The sequence below is a fragment of the Homo sapiens genome, chromosome 1 (genome assembly GCF_000001405.40).
Source record: "Homo sapiens chromosome 1, GRCh38.p14 Primary Assembly".
NCBI classification, from domain to species: domain Eukaryota; kingdom Metazoa; phylum Chordata; class Mammalia; order Primates; family Hominidae; genus Homo; species Homo sapiens.
This window is the reverse complement of record NC_000001.11, coordinates 224,676,689-224,692,542: the sequence shown is the minus strand read 5'-3', so window position 1 is coordinate 224,692,542 and position 15,854 is coordinate 224,676,689. Positions and strand designations below refer to the sequence as shown.

Below are 15,854 nucleotides of genomic sequence, written 5' to 3'. Positions count from 1 at the left end.
AAACTTCTGCGTCAAGGATGGTCTCTCTACGGCACTCCACACAACTGCCTTTGAGTTTACGTATCCCTTTTCACGTATCATGTCCCTCAATTAAAATATGCCATTCCCTCCAGAGCCCTGTAGGAAGAACCGTATTAACAGCTAAAAAGAACTGAAATGAAGTCAATCCCTTGTGGCGAGGAGTGCCAGTAATTAGAGAAAAAAGGCACCATCTTCTCCATTCCTCCCAGTTGTTTTTAGAGACTGGGTCTTACACTGTCCCAGGATGCAGTGCAGTGGCATGACCTTGGCTCACCGCAGCCTGAATCTCCTGGACTCAAGTGATCCTCCCACCTCACCCTCCCTCCTGAGTAGCTGGGACTACAGATGTGCACCACCGTGCCTGGCTAATTTTATTTTACTAACTTTTTGTAGATATGGGGGTCTCACTATGTTACCCACACTGATCTCAACCTCCTGGGCTCAAGCAATCCTCCTGCCTCCCAAAGTGCTGGGATTACAGGCACAAGCCACTGCGCCCTGCCCTTTCCAGTTGTTAGCACATGACAAATACTGTGCACCAAAGCAACATAGATCTTTCTCTAAGTTCTGGTTTATAAATGTACTTAGTAGCCCCCACTTAGGTCAAAGAAATTTGGACAAAGCTTGAAACCATCTATTTGTAAATTTGTAGAGTCAAAGAATGGCTGGACTCTGGCAAAGAATAAGATCACTTTAAGAAAAAAGTTTTCCCCTTTTAGAAGTGCCACATGCTTATGGTATCAATGAGATACCAGGAGCTAAGATACTCTGCCCAATGAGAGAATGAAAATAATCCATCCACTACAGCTTTTTACATCTACGCATGTCAGGAATGTTGCCATGAGAATGTTATGTAACAAACCATTCCAAAATACAGTGCCTTAAAACAATAACCATTTATACTTGCTCCCACATCTAAAGGATGGTTGGCAGTCACTGGCTCTAGCAGGCTTGGCCTTGAGATACAGGTGGGCTCAGGTAGGTTCCCCATGCCTCTCATCCTCCTTGAACCAGTGCATTGGTCTTGTCAATGACAGAATTTCGGAAGGGAACACAGGAATATCCAATGACTCTCACAGCCTTGACACACACTCCCACGCCTGCCCACTTTGCAGTGGACAAGTCCTGTCACCTGGCAGAGCCAAGTATCAGTGGGGAGAGGAAATATACTCTGCTTATAGGAGGAGGAACTGCAAAGTCATAGTGCAAAGGTCACGGAGACCAGGCTGAGTTGCTTCAGGGGCCTGTGACCTGTGCAGCTGCACAAGGCCCTGAGCTGGGAAGGGCCCCATCTTTGGTTGAATGTTTGGCATCAGTTTCTGACATGGAGCCTCACATTGCCATTTCTCACCAGGCCCTGCCAATTATGTAGACAGTCCTGGAGAGAGGGGAGGGTAAGGAAGCATTAATAATAATGCAATCTCCTCATTTAACAAGACTGACTTTTCACTGGGAAAGTGTCATATCCACTTCCCATCTCTTCCAACCCCTGCTTTCAGAACCACATCATGGAATTTGTGCAGTGGGTTCAGGCTGCTACTGGCAGCCTCACTTCACATCATAACTCCTCCGTAAGACAGAGCTGTGGCTCTGGGAAGCTTTAACAAGAAACCGACACAGGTGCCCATTAGTGGGAGCACCGGTGGTCATATCACCACTGCATTTCCGGTACTATACCTGGAGCACCTGCCCCTTCCCAGCAGGCTCTCCAATAAACTCAATGGCCCACTCACCCTCAAAGCCTACCCACACACCCTTCTCCTCCATGTGGTGATGAGAATGCCCAATGAAGAATGAAAATAATCCACCCACTACAGCTTTTTATATTCACAAATGTCAGGGAAAACCTGCAGTGGGACTGGACAAATCCTTGGGGAAACTGGGACATGAATTGGAGAATCACAGAATTGTCAAGCCAGAAGGGACATCCCAAACTATGCAACTAAATGTCCCCAACATTGGGCAGCCTCAATCTAACTCAAAATCATCTCAGACATGAACTTGTCTAATGTGATCTAAGGGGCCGGGTGCCTGTAATCACGCTTGTAATCCCAGCACTTTGGGAGGCTGAGGAGACTGGATCACCTGAGGTCAGGAGTTCGAGACCAGCCTGGCCAACATGGCATAACCTCATCTCTACTAAAAATACAAAAATTAGCCAGGCATGGTGGTGCATGCCTGTAGTCCCAGGTACTCAGGAGGCTGAGGCAGGAGAATCACTTGAACCTGGGAGGCAGAGGTTGCAGTGAGCCGAGATCGTGCCACTGCACTTTAGCCTGGACAACAAAGTGAGACTCTGTCTCAAAAAATAAAAAATAAAAATGAAAATAACTAACTTGGTCTAAGGGATGTGAACATTTCACAACCAGTCCCAAAGTTTGATGACTACCACTGATGAAGCACATTTCTCCTTATTCTCATACCAATCATTTGGGCTCACATTTAAGTTAATTTCCTCGAACCACTCGCTAAACTTGCAGATGCAACAGGAGTCAGCCTCCTCCCCACGAGAACCCTTTATATGCCCAAAAGCGGCAGTCACACCAACCTCTGCCTTCCAGGATGCTTCCTGCTCCCAAACCTGCACTTTGTAGGGGCCCCACAGAGCTTATGATGTGCTCTGGTGGGGAGAGCTGCTCAAGAGGCAACTGGCTCTTGCCACAAAAAAATGAATCATGAGCACAAGTCAACACAAGAATCCTGCAGTTCAGACAATTACCCAAAGAACACATTTTCTGATAATTATAGAGCTAAAAACAGATCCAGTTTGAAAATCCCTTCCTTTCTCCCAAGAAAGCTGAGGAGGTGGTTTAACAACAATCAGCTGCTGAGATGCATCACATTCTAGGGTGTTTAGGAGGCTCGTTCCAAGAAATTCTTGGAAGGTGCAGTTCCCAGAAGGTGGTGCTGCTAACTAGACCCATTAACCCTCCCCGCCATCCCCAACATGTGCTCACAGCTTGGGAATCGGAACTCAGAAGCCCATTCAAAACGAGAGAGACGGGAGGGAGGAGGCCCAGGCCGGCCCACCGTGTGATGCTGCTCAAACACTAAACGGCACTAACCTAAGAAAATGGGAGGGGATGCTAAGAGGGGATGCAACCAGCCAAGGATTATCTCGGCTGGCCAAGTGTGTGCTTAGTGATGTCATAAAGGGTTTTAGGTAGAACTTAAGGGTCAGGATGATAATAATAACATTTAATATGCATTGCACACTTATGAGCCAGATGTACCATATTACCTCACTTAATTCTCACACACCTCTATGAGCACGGTCCTGTTATTTTTACCCCTAGTTTACAGTCACATTGAGGCACACACTGTGGGTTACATGGATAATAAGGGCAGAGGCAGGATTGGAAGCAGTAGATGTTTGCACGCTTCACCAAAACCTTCCAAATATAAAAGTCCCGGAAGTGGCTGAGAGCAGATATTAGGATGGTTGAAATACAGACTACAAGGGGGCAGAGGGTATAAGCATTATGGAAGAAAATCGGACTGAAGAAACTGTAGGTCAGAGATCTTCTGTGTCAATAATGAATACAATATTGAGTTAAATTCAATTTTTAAATACAAATCTTTTTTTTTTTTTTTTTGAGACAGATCTTTGCTGTTGTTGCCCAGGCTGGAGTGCAATGGCGCGATCTCGGCTCACTGCAACCTCCACCTCCTGGGTTCAAGCGATTCTCCTGCCTTAGCCTCCCGAGTAGCTGGGATTACAGGCGCCCACCACCACGCCCGACTAATTTGTGGGGGTTTCACCATGTTGGCCAGGCTGGTCACCGACCTCAGGTGATCTGCCCACCTCGGCCTCCCAAAGTGCTGGGATTACAGATGTGAGCCACCGCGCCTGGCCTATATAAGGAGTAAATGTAGTAAAATATGTAAATTTTGTAGTATGTCACGGACAGTACTGAAATGAAGAAATGGAAAGATTATTGACTAAGCCAGTGTTCCCAAGAAGAAGGATTTAGATGACAGAAGTCCCAGAAAGTTGGCACTCATTCACTCACTTACTTAGTAAATACTCACCGAGCACCTTCAGTGGGCTATGCGTTCCTCTACATTCTATGTCACAGCCCATGACAGTGAATGAAACAAAATTGCTGACCATCCAGAACTGGCATTCTAGTGAGAGGAGACAGACCTGCATGCCCAGGACCTAAATGCCTTTGGGAGAACAGTGTTACCAACTTAAGCTAAATAACATGTGAGCTACAGTCAGACCTCAAGGGCCAGACAGACAGAAGCACCTATAATTTGAAATTACATTCAGAAAGAAATTATGTTGAAATCACCCTCCTAAACTTAATAAAACAAAATTGCTTGACTTTTAACAAAAGCATAAGCTTTAAACAGAAGCATAACTAAGCATTAACCAGCTTGCCCTATAGCCCATCTCCTTATAGCCGCTTACTGCTTAGTCCCATCGCCTCTGTCACAAGGTCCTAACATCTACAGGTAACATCCTTAACATTAAAAAACCTCAAGTTTCCCATTTGAGATATTTTCTAGATCCTGATTCCATCAGGCCCCCTGACACCAGCCAGTCTGCAGACTCCCTCCAAGGAACGGACTTAGTACAAGAATGAAGTTTCTACATCCTTATGATTTCATCTCCCATGTCCTAACCAATCAGCAACCCCCAGTTCTTCAGCCAAAATTCCCTCTAAAATCCCAGCCCAAAACTTCTCGAGGAGGTGGATTTGAGATTCCCTCGTGCCTTGTTTGGCTGCCATACAATTATTAAGCTCTTTCTCTGCTGCAACTCCCACCGTCTCAGTGTATTGGTCTGTTACTGTGCAAGGGTGCAAAGCTGGTGGTCCTGGTACGAAGCTGGTGGTCCTGTAACAATGATGACATCACTGAAAACAATCTCAGGTATCCAGGGCACACAAAAGAACTAATAACCAATTGTTAAAAGTAGATGTGCTTAGGGCAAGAGGACTGGAGGAGGAGGGAGATTCCACAAAGAAAGAAAGCAAGCTGGGCTGGGCATGGTGGCTCATCCTTGTAATTCCAGCATTTTGAGAGGCCAAGTTGGGAGCATCACTTGAAGCCAGGAGTTTCAGACCAGCCTGGACAACAAAGCAAGAACCCATCTCTACAAAAAATAAAAAAGTCGGCCAGGCATGGTGGTGCATGCCTGCAGCTCCAGCTACTCAGGAGGCTAAGGTGGGAAAATCACTTGAGCCCAAGGAGTTCAAGGCTGCAGTGAGTTATGATTGCACCCCTGCACTCCAGCCTAGGTGGCAGAGAAGACCCTATCTCAAATAAATAAATAAAGTTGTAGGTACATGGCTTATTTCTGCCTTGAGTTAGTGAAGAGGTGCTGGCCACTCCAGTGCTACTCCCCGTGGGAGCTAGAAAACTGTCAGGCTGCAGAAGGTGTGATCACGCAGCCACAACACCTAAAGTCTTGAAGTCACTGTCTCATGTCCTCTGATGCCTACCTTTTCTCCCCGGTATTTTCCACGACGATGAGTAGCAACTGCATTTGACCTCCCAGAAGCTGCAGCAGAGGCAGTGGCGTGGGAAAAAGGAGCATGTACAAATGAAAGGGGCAAAAGGCAGGAAGAGGTAGAGTACAGTGTTCCTTGGAGTAAAATGCCTCAGTTTATTGTTTATAGGAACTTATGCAAACGATATGCAAATCTGCAAAAAGTAATGCTAATTCTTGCATAGTGTGCTTACTTTCATACCCTTAGCTCTGGGCTGCAAGTCTGTGGGCCACAGGACCTTGGCCATTGCCTGCTGCCTGGCCGGAGTCACTGGTCAAGCAGCATAAAAGAATAAGCAAGGATAAAAGGTGATGGATATGGAACATTGTTCTGCCAGAGAATACAGGATGGTATATCCAGGATGGGAGAAAAAAGGGCAACTTGGAGTCTGAAAGGCAAAACTTTGGTTTTGTCTTGATCCATTTGATGTCACTTAGGCATCAAGTCTTAAAGAACAAACCCAGAGACTATAGAAGTACTAGCTGGACATCCCATTACTGGGCATATACCCAAAGGATTATAAATCATGCTGCTATAAAGACACATGCACACGTATGTTTACTGGGGCACTATTCACAATAGCAAAGACTTGGAACCAACCCAAATGCCCATAAATGATAGACTGGATTAAGAAAATGTGGCACATATACACCATGGAATACTATGCAGCCATAAAAAAGGATGAATTCATGTCCTTTGTAGGGACATGGATGAAGCTGGAAACCATCATTCTCAGCAAACTATCGCAAGGACAGAAAACCAAACACTGCATGTTCTCACTTATAGGTGGGAACTGAACAATGAGAACACTTAGACACAGGAAGGGGAACATCACACACCAGGGCCTGTCGTGGGGTGGGGGGAGGGGGGAGGGATAGCATTAGGAGATATACCTAATGTAAATGACGAGTCAATGGGTGCAGCACACCAACATGGCACATGTATACATATGTAACAAACCTGCACGTTGTGTACATGTACCCTAGAACTTAAAGTATTAAAAAAAAAAGTAGTACTGGCTGGAGCAGGTTATGGGTCTCCAAGACATTATCTGGAAAAATAATTTATAAATTTGTGAATTCATATTATGTTATTTTCCTAATCATTCTTTATTCCTTGGATCACAAATATTTTCATATATAGGCTTTATCCAAGCATATTTCCCTGCTGTGTCATACAAGATATGGGATTCTAACACACTGGCTCTCTTAGAAGACATTAAAAGACAAGTAATTAGCTAGAAAAATAACCGGCTGCTTGATTAAGCTCTCTCTCAATGAAAGGTATCATTACTGAAATACAGAAAAAACTTTAAAAGCTTGCAAAGTATTTTCCCCTTCTATCAATGTTGGCATAACATTTTATTTCTGTCCTATTCATGTAAGGCTCAAAAAATCCTTTTGGGCTGACAGGTGGCTTTCATATGGCCTGTAGTTCATCCACTCTGTACAGAGGTTAGGGATGTCCTTTGGTTATTTTACCGGCAAGTTGCCGTTCTCCATATTTTGCTGCAAAAAGCACACACTTTTTTGGGAAAGAGACACAGGGGCCCCCAGCTATGGCACAGAGCTATGCTAAATACCAAGTTTGAACTGTGTGTGCCCACATGCGCTTCCTGAATGAGTCTGGGGAAGCTGTAACGTACTACCCATCCATTCAGAGCAACTCTCTGAATGACGTGACTCTGCCTTTAGTAACACTGCCTCATCCCACCCATCCAGCACTTACAGTGATGCTGACAATCAAATTGCAAAGCTGCGTGACACGCTGCAACCTCAAAGGAAACCCAGCATCTAGTTAAAAACTTCCCAAGGTCGGCGGGGAGTGTTCCTGAGCCCAGCCCCACACAGAACAAAGGCTCTGTGGCAATAGCAGCTGGAAATGCCATCCATCATCATGCAAAGATAAAGAGCTTATAACTCCAACCAGAGGGTACTTGCAAATACCCAGTGCTGTCCTGACACTTTGATTGATGGCCACCTCCTTTAATTAGCTCCTCTTGTCTCTGGAGGTTTCCAAAGAACTGATCACTTGCTCCCACCTCCCCCTTTCCCTGCCACCATTTGCCTCCCTGGTGGACAGGACTGGAGCAGGCAGAGCCTCACTAGCCTCTTTCACTGTGTGCCCACCCACCACCATGCGATCCTCCATCCTCGGCATGAAGCTGCCACACTGACCTTTCGCAGAAGGAAGCAGATGCGCTCGATGTTCCTCAACCGTTCCCTCTATCAGGATGCACAAGAAAGAAATGAGAGGGGAGGTTAGGGGTTCTGCTAAAATAGCATGAGAAGGCCCCGCAATCAGCCCCAATAGTGGAGGCAGAAGCCACCAGAGACCCCTCCTGGGCACATGGCCAGCATGCTCCCACCCAGTGGCTTTTTCTAACAGAGTTTCTGACTTTCTTCCCTGTACCTTGTCATGGTCATTTGCTCTTAGCAGAACTCTCCCAGCAAACAGCATGGGCTCAACTGCCCTCTCAGTCCAGCACGGATTTCTGTTCCTTTATCTACAAAGTCTCTCTCAGCCTCCATGTACGTATAAGGTGGTCAAACTGCTGAATGGTACCTCGTGTTCATGGAGCATCCTAAAGCCTGCAGCCGGCCCTCCCAGGAGGCCTTCCCACTTAGTTCTCGAAGAGCGTATGTGCCCTCATTAGTATCTAAGGTAGACAAGTTCTCTGCCTGCTGGTTTTATTTTTCTAAAGTGAGTCTACTTGGAGGAAGTAATCTCCCTACTAAATTAGACAACAATGATGCCCCCAGGCTAAGGCTTTTTAAGAAGTTCGAGTCTGTCAAGGCCTGGCTCACTGCCAAGGGAAGATGAGATGATGGCCCGTGGCTGGGCAGGTGATGATGCCCGCATCGTGCACTAAATGCCGTTGCCTCCCTTTTCCTTCAGTGACTTTAACGATTTCCAAAGCCACACTGAACACAGCTGTGGCATCTCCCGGTGCTTCATTACTGAGGCAATTTGGTTGCTGTAGATGGAATGGTAATGAGATTCCTCATGGCTCTGGAAAGGACAGGTGGCTGGGACACTTCATTTGCCTAATTAAATCATAAATATAGTGATTCCTGCGCATCCTGTAAGCCCAGAGGAAGAAGCCCACATCAGGACAAATTAGTGTCCACATGGCTGGAAAGACACACTGCATCCTCCTCACATGTGCACACGCAAACACACATACTTATGTGCACACACGCACGAAAGGGAATGCTACAAGACACGCACTAGCTCCTTCTCCAGCAAGCCAGAGCCCCTGAAGGACAACATCTACCATTACTTTAAAGTAATACTGAATGCCCAGCTGGTAAAAGGAAGGGAAAACATGAGAAACGAGGAGTAAAACCGAGCATTCCTCCTCCTTTCCATCCCAGAGGGTCCAACGATATTGAGAGCTTCAGGGCATCTTAAATCCAAATGGGCCTCATGCCCTCATTGAGAGACGCATCATATGGATCAGCAATTATTTGTGACACACAAGTACTTCCAGGACTGGAGTCACCAATCAGTGAAGTAGCTTTTTTAAGCCACCTGAGTCTGAAATGCTGCCTTGGGGGCTCTATAGAGGTCTAAGACCTCGCAGAAGAGTTAAATGAGGCATCTGAAGCATTTAACTTCCTGCCAGGGAGTAACAGCATAAGAACTGGGAAAATGTGTCTAGCAGTCTTCCATTTAGGGTTTTTATTTGTTTTTGTTTTTGTTTTTAATCTGAGACAAGAGTCTTTTCCCCATGGGGCACCTAGAGTCTTTATTCTGTCCATGAGCTTCATAGGGCCCAGGCTCCTTAATTAATCAGTTTACTAATTAGAAGTATGCCTTTAATAACAGGAGTTAAAAAAAGTGAATTGAGATTTAACTTCTATGCCACCACTTCAATATTCACCCATTGTTTAATCGACAAATAGCCATGGAGCACCTACTATGTGCAAATTCTATTCCTGCACTGGCCTTTCACAGAAGCTCCCGGAGAGCATATACTAGTCCTGATTTTCTTCATTCTGTCTAAATTTCCTTATTCTTTGCCATGGTGAGATGGAAAGGGTTCCACAAAAATATTTCGTGGTTTCACCAATCACCTGCAACCCAGCATGGAATTTGCATGATAGAATTGAGCAGTAGGACAAATTCCTTCCCTAGCATTTGCCCTGGAATCAGACAAGAAAGCTCTGGGTGTTCTAAGTGAGCTGCCTATTAATTTGAGCCCAAACAATTAGAAGGAAGGAAAGTAGGTTCTTGTCTTGCCTGGCATTCCTAAATGAAGGTGTCTCTCAGACTAGAGCCGCTCACTGCACCTGGTAGATATTGACAGGCCAGGCGTGTAATGTTGGTGCCAAACACAAAAACATCCAGAAAGACATGAGACCCAGAGTGAAATCTTTCAGGACTGACAGATCCAAATTATCCCAGGTGCATGGTGAGGCTGGTAGATGGAAACAAAATGGATTTTAATAGTTATAAGTTCATGAAATACAGCAAGTTTTCAAGTGGATCTTGCAGGTTCTTTAAACTTGCATTAAAATTTGCTTTGAAAGAGTTCGTCTCTATTTCATGGAATCAAAAAATATGATGCCAAAGTGGGCCTCAGATATTATAAAGTCAGGTCTCTTAAAGAGGCAACACAGGGTAGATGGCAGGATGAGAGACTTTGGAGACAGGCAAGCCTGGGTTCAAGTCCTAGCTGCAGCACTCATGAGCTATAAATCCCTGTACAAACGAGTCCATTTTGTGGTTTATAAATTGGGTTAATGATGCCTGTCTCATAGCATTATTGTGAGGATTACAGATTATGTATATAAAGTTCCTAGCACATAATAAAAACTCAAAAAAATGACAACTCCAGTAATAACTCTATAGAAAGGGACACTGAATCCCGGTTCTTCCATATGGTCTTTTGGTACCTCCCTAAAAGCATATCCTTCTTCATAAGGCCTGCAGCTAAGGAGAAGAGACCTCTTTGTCCCTGCTGAATGACGCCACAAACATTCCAAGCTAAGACGGTATCACGCTAGCAGAGCCTGTTGTTCTCTCTACGACTTCTGGCTGAAAAGGTCAACAAAGCTACTCAAAGAGGCAAAAAGTTGCCTTAGCGCTGGAAACCATGGCCTGGAAGGAACTTCAACTAAACACAGAACCAGTGAATTTGGATTGAGAAACACACTTGAATGAACTGTGTGTGCACCACCCTTTGAACTCAGAAGTGCAGGTAGGGAGTAAGTTTGGAAAAGGCTCTGTCCACATACAGGGTTGGTCTCTGGCTCCGGGACATGGACTACACTGACCAGGGAAACAAACAGCCAAAACACCTGTCCCCACCCAGCATCCATTCAGAAGCTCCCAGTCAGAGGCACAGCCAGGGCACAGGGGAAGGGCAGCATGTAGGGCCTGCCAAGCCAGACAAGCAGGAAGATGCCAGGCACCACGCATGCTGGGGCAGGTGACCTTTCACTTCCCGAACCCAGACCAGGACAATCAGACTGCACCAAATCCTCCAGGCAGAGGTGAGCTGATCTCAGGCCCACAGAACCACCTGAGATGAATGCTTTCTGGGTGATGGATGGCGCCAGGGACTTTGTGCATTAACCCACCCTCCACGTCTCCACTTGGTGCCCAGGTGGAGAGTGCAGCACGGACATCCACTCATGGTGCTCACGTGCCTGCAAACATGCTGGCCAACATGGAGCCTCTTTTCTTGTTTAAGGATGAGTAACCAAAACACAAGAGCACCAGGCTTTGAGGACTCAAGGGCCACAGCACAGTAGACTATTCCCCTGGGTTACTGGGACAGTCACATCTGATTTGCAACATATCTCAAGACCTCAGCACACTTCAAGAATGAGAAGGCTCCTCCACAACCTTGAGCCAGGTAGAGAGGCACAGTGAGGGCGAGCATGTTCTTTACGCATTCAAATCATTCACATTCTCACCCTCCTTCCCAGGCCCTGGGTAGCCTGGGGTGATAGCACCTTCCCCTCACCAGTACCCGCCACTTACCGCATGAACAGGATTGCACTGGTCTATGGGGCTCTTAAAATCTGTCCTTAACTCATCAAAGGCAATTATCTGAAACAGAATACAGAGATTTGAGGTGTTAGTGCACACGAGTCAACACACCATGTCCAAAGCTTCTGTGGATTTGCTTCCAAATAACACAACAGAAAGGAAGAGGCTGTAGATGGCATGAGATTGGCCAGCAGCTGGTCACTGTCGAAGCTGGCAATAAGCACATGGGGTTGATTATATTCTTCTGTCTACTGTGTACGCTTAAAATTGTCCCCAGTAAGTTTTTTTAAGTATCTGTGCTCTACAAAGATGTAAAGAAAGTCTACTGTGCTGAGGGCAGGTTTGGATTTAGATAAAAGCACAAAAAAATTAAAACTTCAAACCACTACTTTTAGCCCCTTTCCTTCCAGGAAGAGCTATTTATTTTTTATTTGTGTGTATTTGGGCAGAAAAGGTGATTGGAAGTGAAACAGACAGAAGTCAGGTGAGAAGGAAAAGAGAAAAACAAGGCAGTAGAGTTGACAGTAATAGAAATAACCAAATGTCTAGATGTCCACAAGCCTGGACGGTCAGCTCCTGGGCAGTCAGCACTTCAAAGCACAGTCCTTTGGACTTCAGTCCTACAGTTCATTTTGGATGAAGACTCAGAACTCCCCAGAGAACAACACTTTCCCGATATCCCTGGAGGAAAGAATGCTGGAGAGGACCTTTTCCAGTCACAGAATGAGGCACGGCCCTCCACAGAAGGACCTAACTGACAGGTGAAGGTTCACAAGCCCACATCCTCACCACAGCTACCTTGTCTGCTACAGAAGGAATAAATAATAGAACAAGGTGGGATTTGGCCAGGGGAGTGTCCTTTCTTAGGGTGTGGAAGCCTTGGGTGCTCCCAGTAAAGTCTCTCCTTTTGAAAATAAACAGACATGACCGCCTGTAATCCCAGCACTTTCAGAGGCCGAGGCGGTTGGATCACCTGAAGTCAGGAATTCTAGACCAGCCTGGCCAACATGGTGAAATCCCGTCTCTACTAAAAATACAAAAATTAGCTGGGTATAGTGGCATGCACCTGTAATCTCAGCTATCTAGGAGGCTGAGGCAGGAGAAAAAAAGGAAAATAAAATAAACAGACATAACCAACTCCCCAGGAAGGCACATCCCAGGGGTCCCTGAACATTTGGTAGAATTGCTGAAGCAAGGAAGCCAGCTTCCCGCCCCCAGATGTCCCCAATCCAGCAACATGGGGCTGACAGTAAGCATTAAGTGAGAGAAAACAACTTCCCTCTACAAAGCAAGTAGAATTTTAAAGCAGTCATATGTCATCCTGATTTCAATCCTCCTACAGAATTTGAAGAAAATTCCAGTATAACTTGTATTAAACCAACACATTTCTATATCATCCCTTGCCAGATAATTATCCAGCCTGTACTTAAACGCTTCAGTAACAAGAAACTCACCACTTACTGAAGATGCTCATTCCACTTCTGGCTACCTCTAATTAATCATTGCTTTCCTTATTAAACTATAATATATGACTCCCTGAAGCTTCCACCCACAGCCTAAGCCAGGGTCAGCAAACTACAGCCTGAAGGCCAAATCCAGCCTGCTACCCATTTTTGTTCAACCTGTGAGCTAAGAATGTTTTGGTTTGTTTTTTAGTTTTTGTTTTTGTTTTTGTTTTGAGACAGAGTCTCACTCTGTCAGCCAGGCTGGAATGCAGTGGTGAGATCTTGGCTCACTGCAACCTCCATCTCCCAGGCTCAAGCAATTCTCCTGCCTCAGCTTCTCGAGTAGCTAGGATTACAGGCGTGTGCCACCATGTACAAAAAAAAATACAAATACAAAAAAAAAATTTTTATATTTTTAGTGGAGATGGGGTTTCATGTTTTTAACATTTTTTTAAATACTTGAAATAAACCAAAAAGGAGAATATTTTGTGGCATGTGAAGCTTATATTAAAATTCAAATTTCAGTATCCATAAAGGTTTATTGGAATATAGTAGCATTCATTCTTTTATCGATACTGCTTTTGCACAACGGCAGGGTTGAGTAGTAGTTACAGGCTGTAAGGCTCACAAAACCCAAAATATTTACTATTTTGCCTTTTATAGAAAAAAATCTGCTGACCCCAGCCTATTCTTTCATTTGCCCTCTAGAGCTATCCTCTCCACTACAGTAGCCTCTAGCCACATGCAGCTATTAAAGCTTAAACTTTTAATTAATTAAAATTAAATTAAAAATTCAGTTCATAGATATATTTAAGTTGTTCAACAACCTTATCTATCTAGTAGCTATTACACAGCACAGATATAAAACATCCCCATCACCACAGAAAGTGCTATCAGACAGCACTGCATTAGAGGCACATAGCATGGGTCAAATCCCTCCTCCACAAAGAACCCCTTTAAGTACTGTCAGCTCCAGGGACCCCAGCAAATCTTTCCTCTTCAAGCTAAATCTCTCCAACCATTGTTTACATAAACTGGCGCTAAGCTGCCTCATCATCCTGATTGTCCACCACGGATGTTTCAGGTTGTAAATGTCCATTCTAAAGTGTGTAAAGTACTGTCGGTACTAAACACTTGATTCAAGGTGAGGGTGGCTGGCACAGACAGTAGAGATGTCACTCACCTCCTCTGTTCTATAGTCTATGCTTCTTTTAATCCAATCTGATTGCATTAGCTTTTTTGTGGCCATATCACATTCCTGGCTTTATACTGAATTCGAATTAATTAAAAGCCCTAGGTCTTTTCATGTGCTTCAGTTAAACTCAGTCCACCTCATTCTGCACAAGCATTGTTGGATTTGGAGGCCTAAGAGCAGGAACTAATATTTATCCTGGTTAATTCCTCCCTATTCAATATGGTCTACTGGTCCAATCTTTTGAGACATGACCTATCTCCCAACTATTATATAAATCCTAATAAACACAGTATCGTCAATACCCACATCCACATTTACCCTGATATAAATGTAGACCAAGCGGGACCAAGGCCAGAGCTCTGAGCTCACCATTCCTAGCTCCTGTAAGGCTGACATCGGTTTTCCTGGCACCTATTATCTATACAGTTATAAAGACGGTTTACTATATTTTGATACAGTCACTGAAAGCAAGTATCTGGACAGCTGCAGAACTCCACAACTGTTAGTGCCCCACATATAGGCCCCCCACAAAGAGACTGGGCACCCATGGAGGAAAGGGAGCCAAGCCCCCACATTGTGGACAATCCCCAACCCCAGTCCTGCTCTAGGGCCTGTGTCTCTGTCTGAGTGCAGGGAGGTGGGTCTAGACTGAATAGAGCAAAAGTAGCTGGAGCTTGAAGCAGCAGAGAGGAGCCAAAGGGGATCTGGGGCTGTTCAGCCAGGCTGAGAGCCAGCGACCCCTACCTTGGCCCACCTCAGCGCCTCACCTAGAGGATGGCGCAGAGGAAAGAGGCCTGAAGTGTGGCTTATGCCTTTGAGCTCCATGAGATAAGAGGTCCTTCATGGGTGCTTTCTGATGATGTGATGGCAGTGCACCCATGAGGACAAAGGCTTTCAGCGTCCCTACACCCAGTGGCTACTCGCTAATGTATCCATCCATTCACCTAACATTCAGCCAGCATCCTTTAGACACAGGCAATGGGCTAACCACTGGAGACACAAAAATCAACAAGATCGGTGCCTGTCCTCACCAACTTCCTAGTCTAGAGGGGAAGACCCCCATGTAGACAGGCCACTGTGCTACAGTGTGATGAGGGCTATCAAGACGATTGTAATAACAGCTCTCATGTATTGTCTGCTCACCATGTCAGCTGCCGGGCTATATGCTGCACATGCTTTTTATCATTTAATCCTCTGACCACCCAAAGGATTAAATGGAACCAATAATAGTACCTACCTCACTATTACTGGTCCCATTTCAGAGAAGAAGAAACTGAGGCCCAAAGTAGTTAAGTTACTTGCCCACGATTACTCTTTGGTGCCAGGATCCAAACCAAGGCCTGCCTAACACTAAAACCTGAGTGTTACCATTACGTTATTCTGCCTCCAAGTACATACAGAGAAAAGTAAATAAGGAGTCGGAAGACATTCAGAAGAATGAACAGCTGTCCCCATGGAAACAAAGCAAAGCTTCCCCGAGGAGGTAGGGGTTAGGCTACCCCCCACTTAGCACTAATTCATAAATAGATTCCCAGTTTCAGCCTCCTGACCTGTCTGAGGATAGAAGCCACGGGCCCCACTGTGTAGTATCATCCTTTGCATGTGGCAGACTTCTATCTAGAGCTAAGCCTTAGCATCAGCAATGGACTGACTGCGAGTGTGATGAACACAATGATGTAAGGATGGGCA

General features: G+C 45.3%; 1 protein-coding gene across 16 annotated transcripts in view; it reads right to left on the bottom strand.

The window, feature by feature from the left end:
• Positions 1-15,854, bottom strand: part of CNIH3 (cornichon family AMPA receptor auxiliary protein 3) — a 305,915-nt gene that overhangs the window by 48,012 nt on the left and 242,049 nt on the right. For 15 of the 16 annotated variants that reach the window (NR_136289.1, NR_136290.1, NR_136288.1 and 12 more), the window contains 2 exons: positions 11,517-11,585; positions 7,700-7,747 (listed from right to left, as the gene is read on the bottom strand). Coding sequence is in view for 5 of the 16 variants with exons in the window: in NM_001322302.2 (NP_001309231.1) it covers positions 7,700-7,747; positions 11,517-11,585 (117 nt within the window). In the remaining 11 variants the exon portion in view is untranslated. The remainder of the gene's footprint in view (positions 1-7,699; positions 7,748-11,516; positions 11,586-15,854) is intronic. The other variant, NM_001322305.2, reaches the window with a different exon arrangement.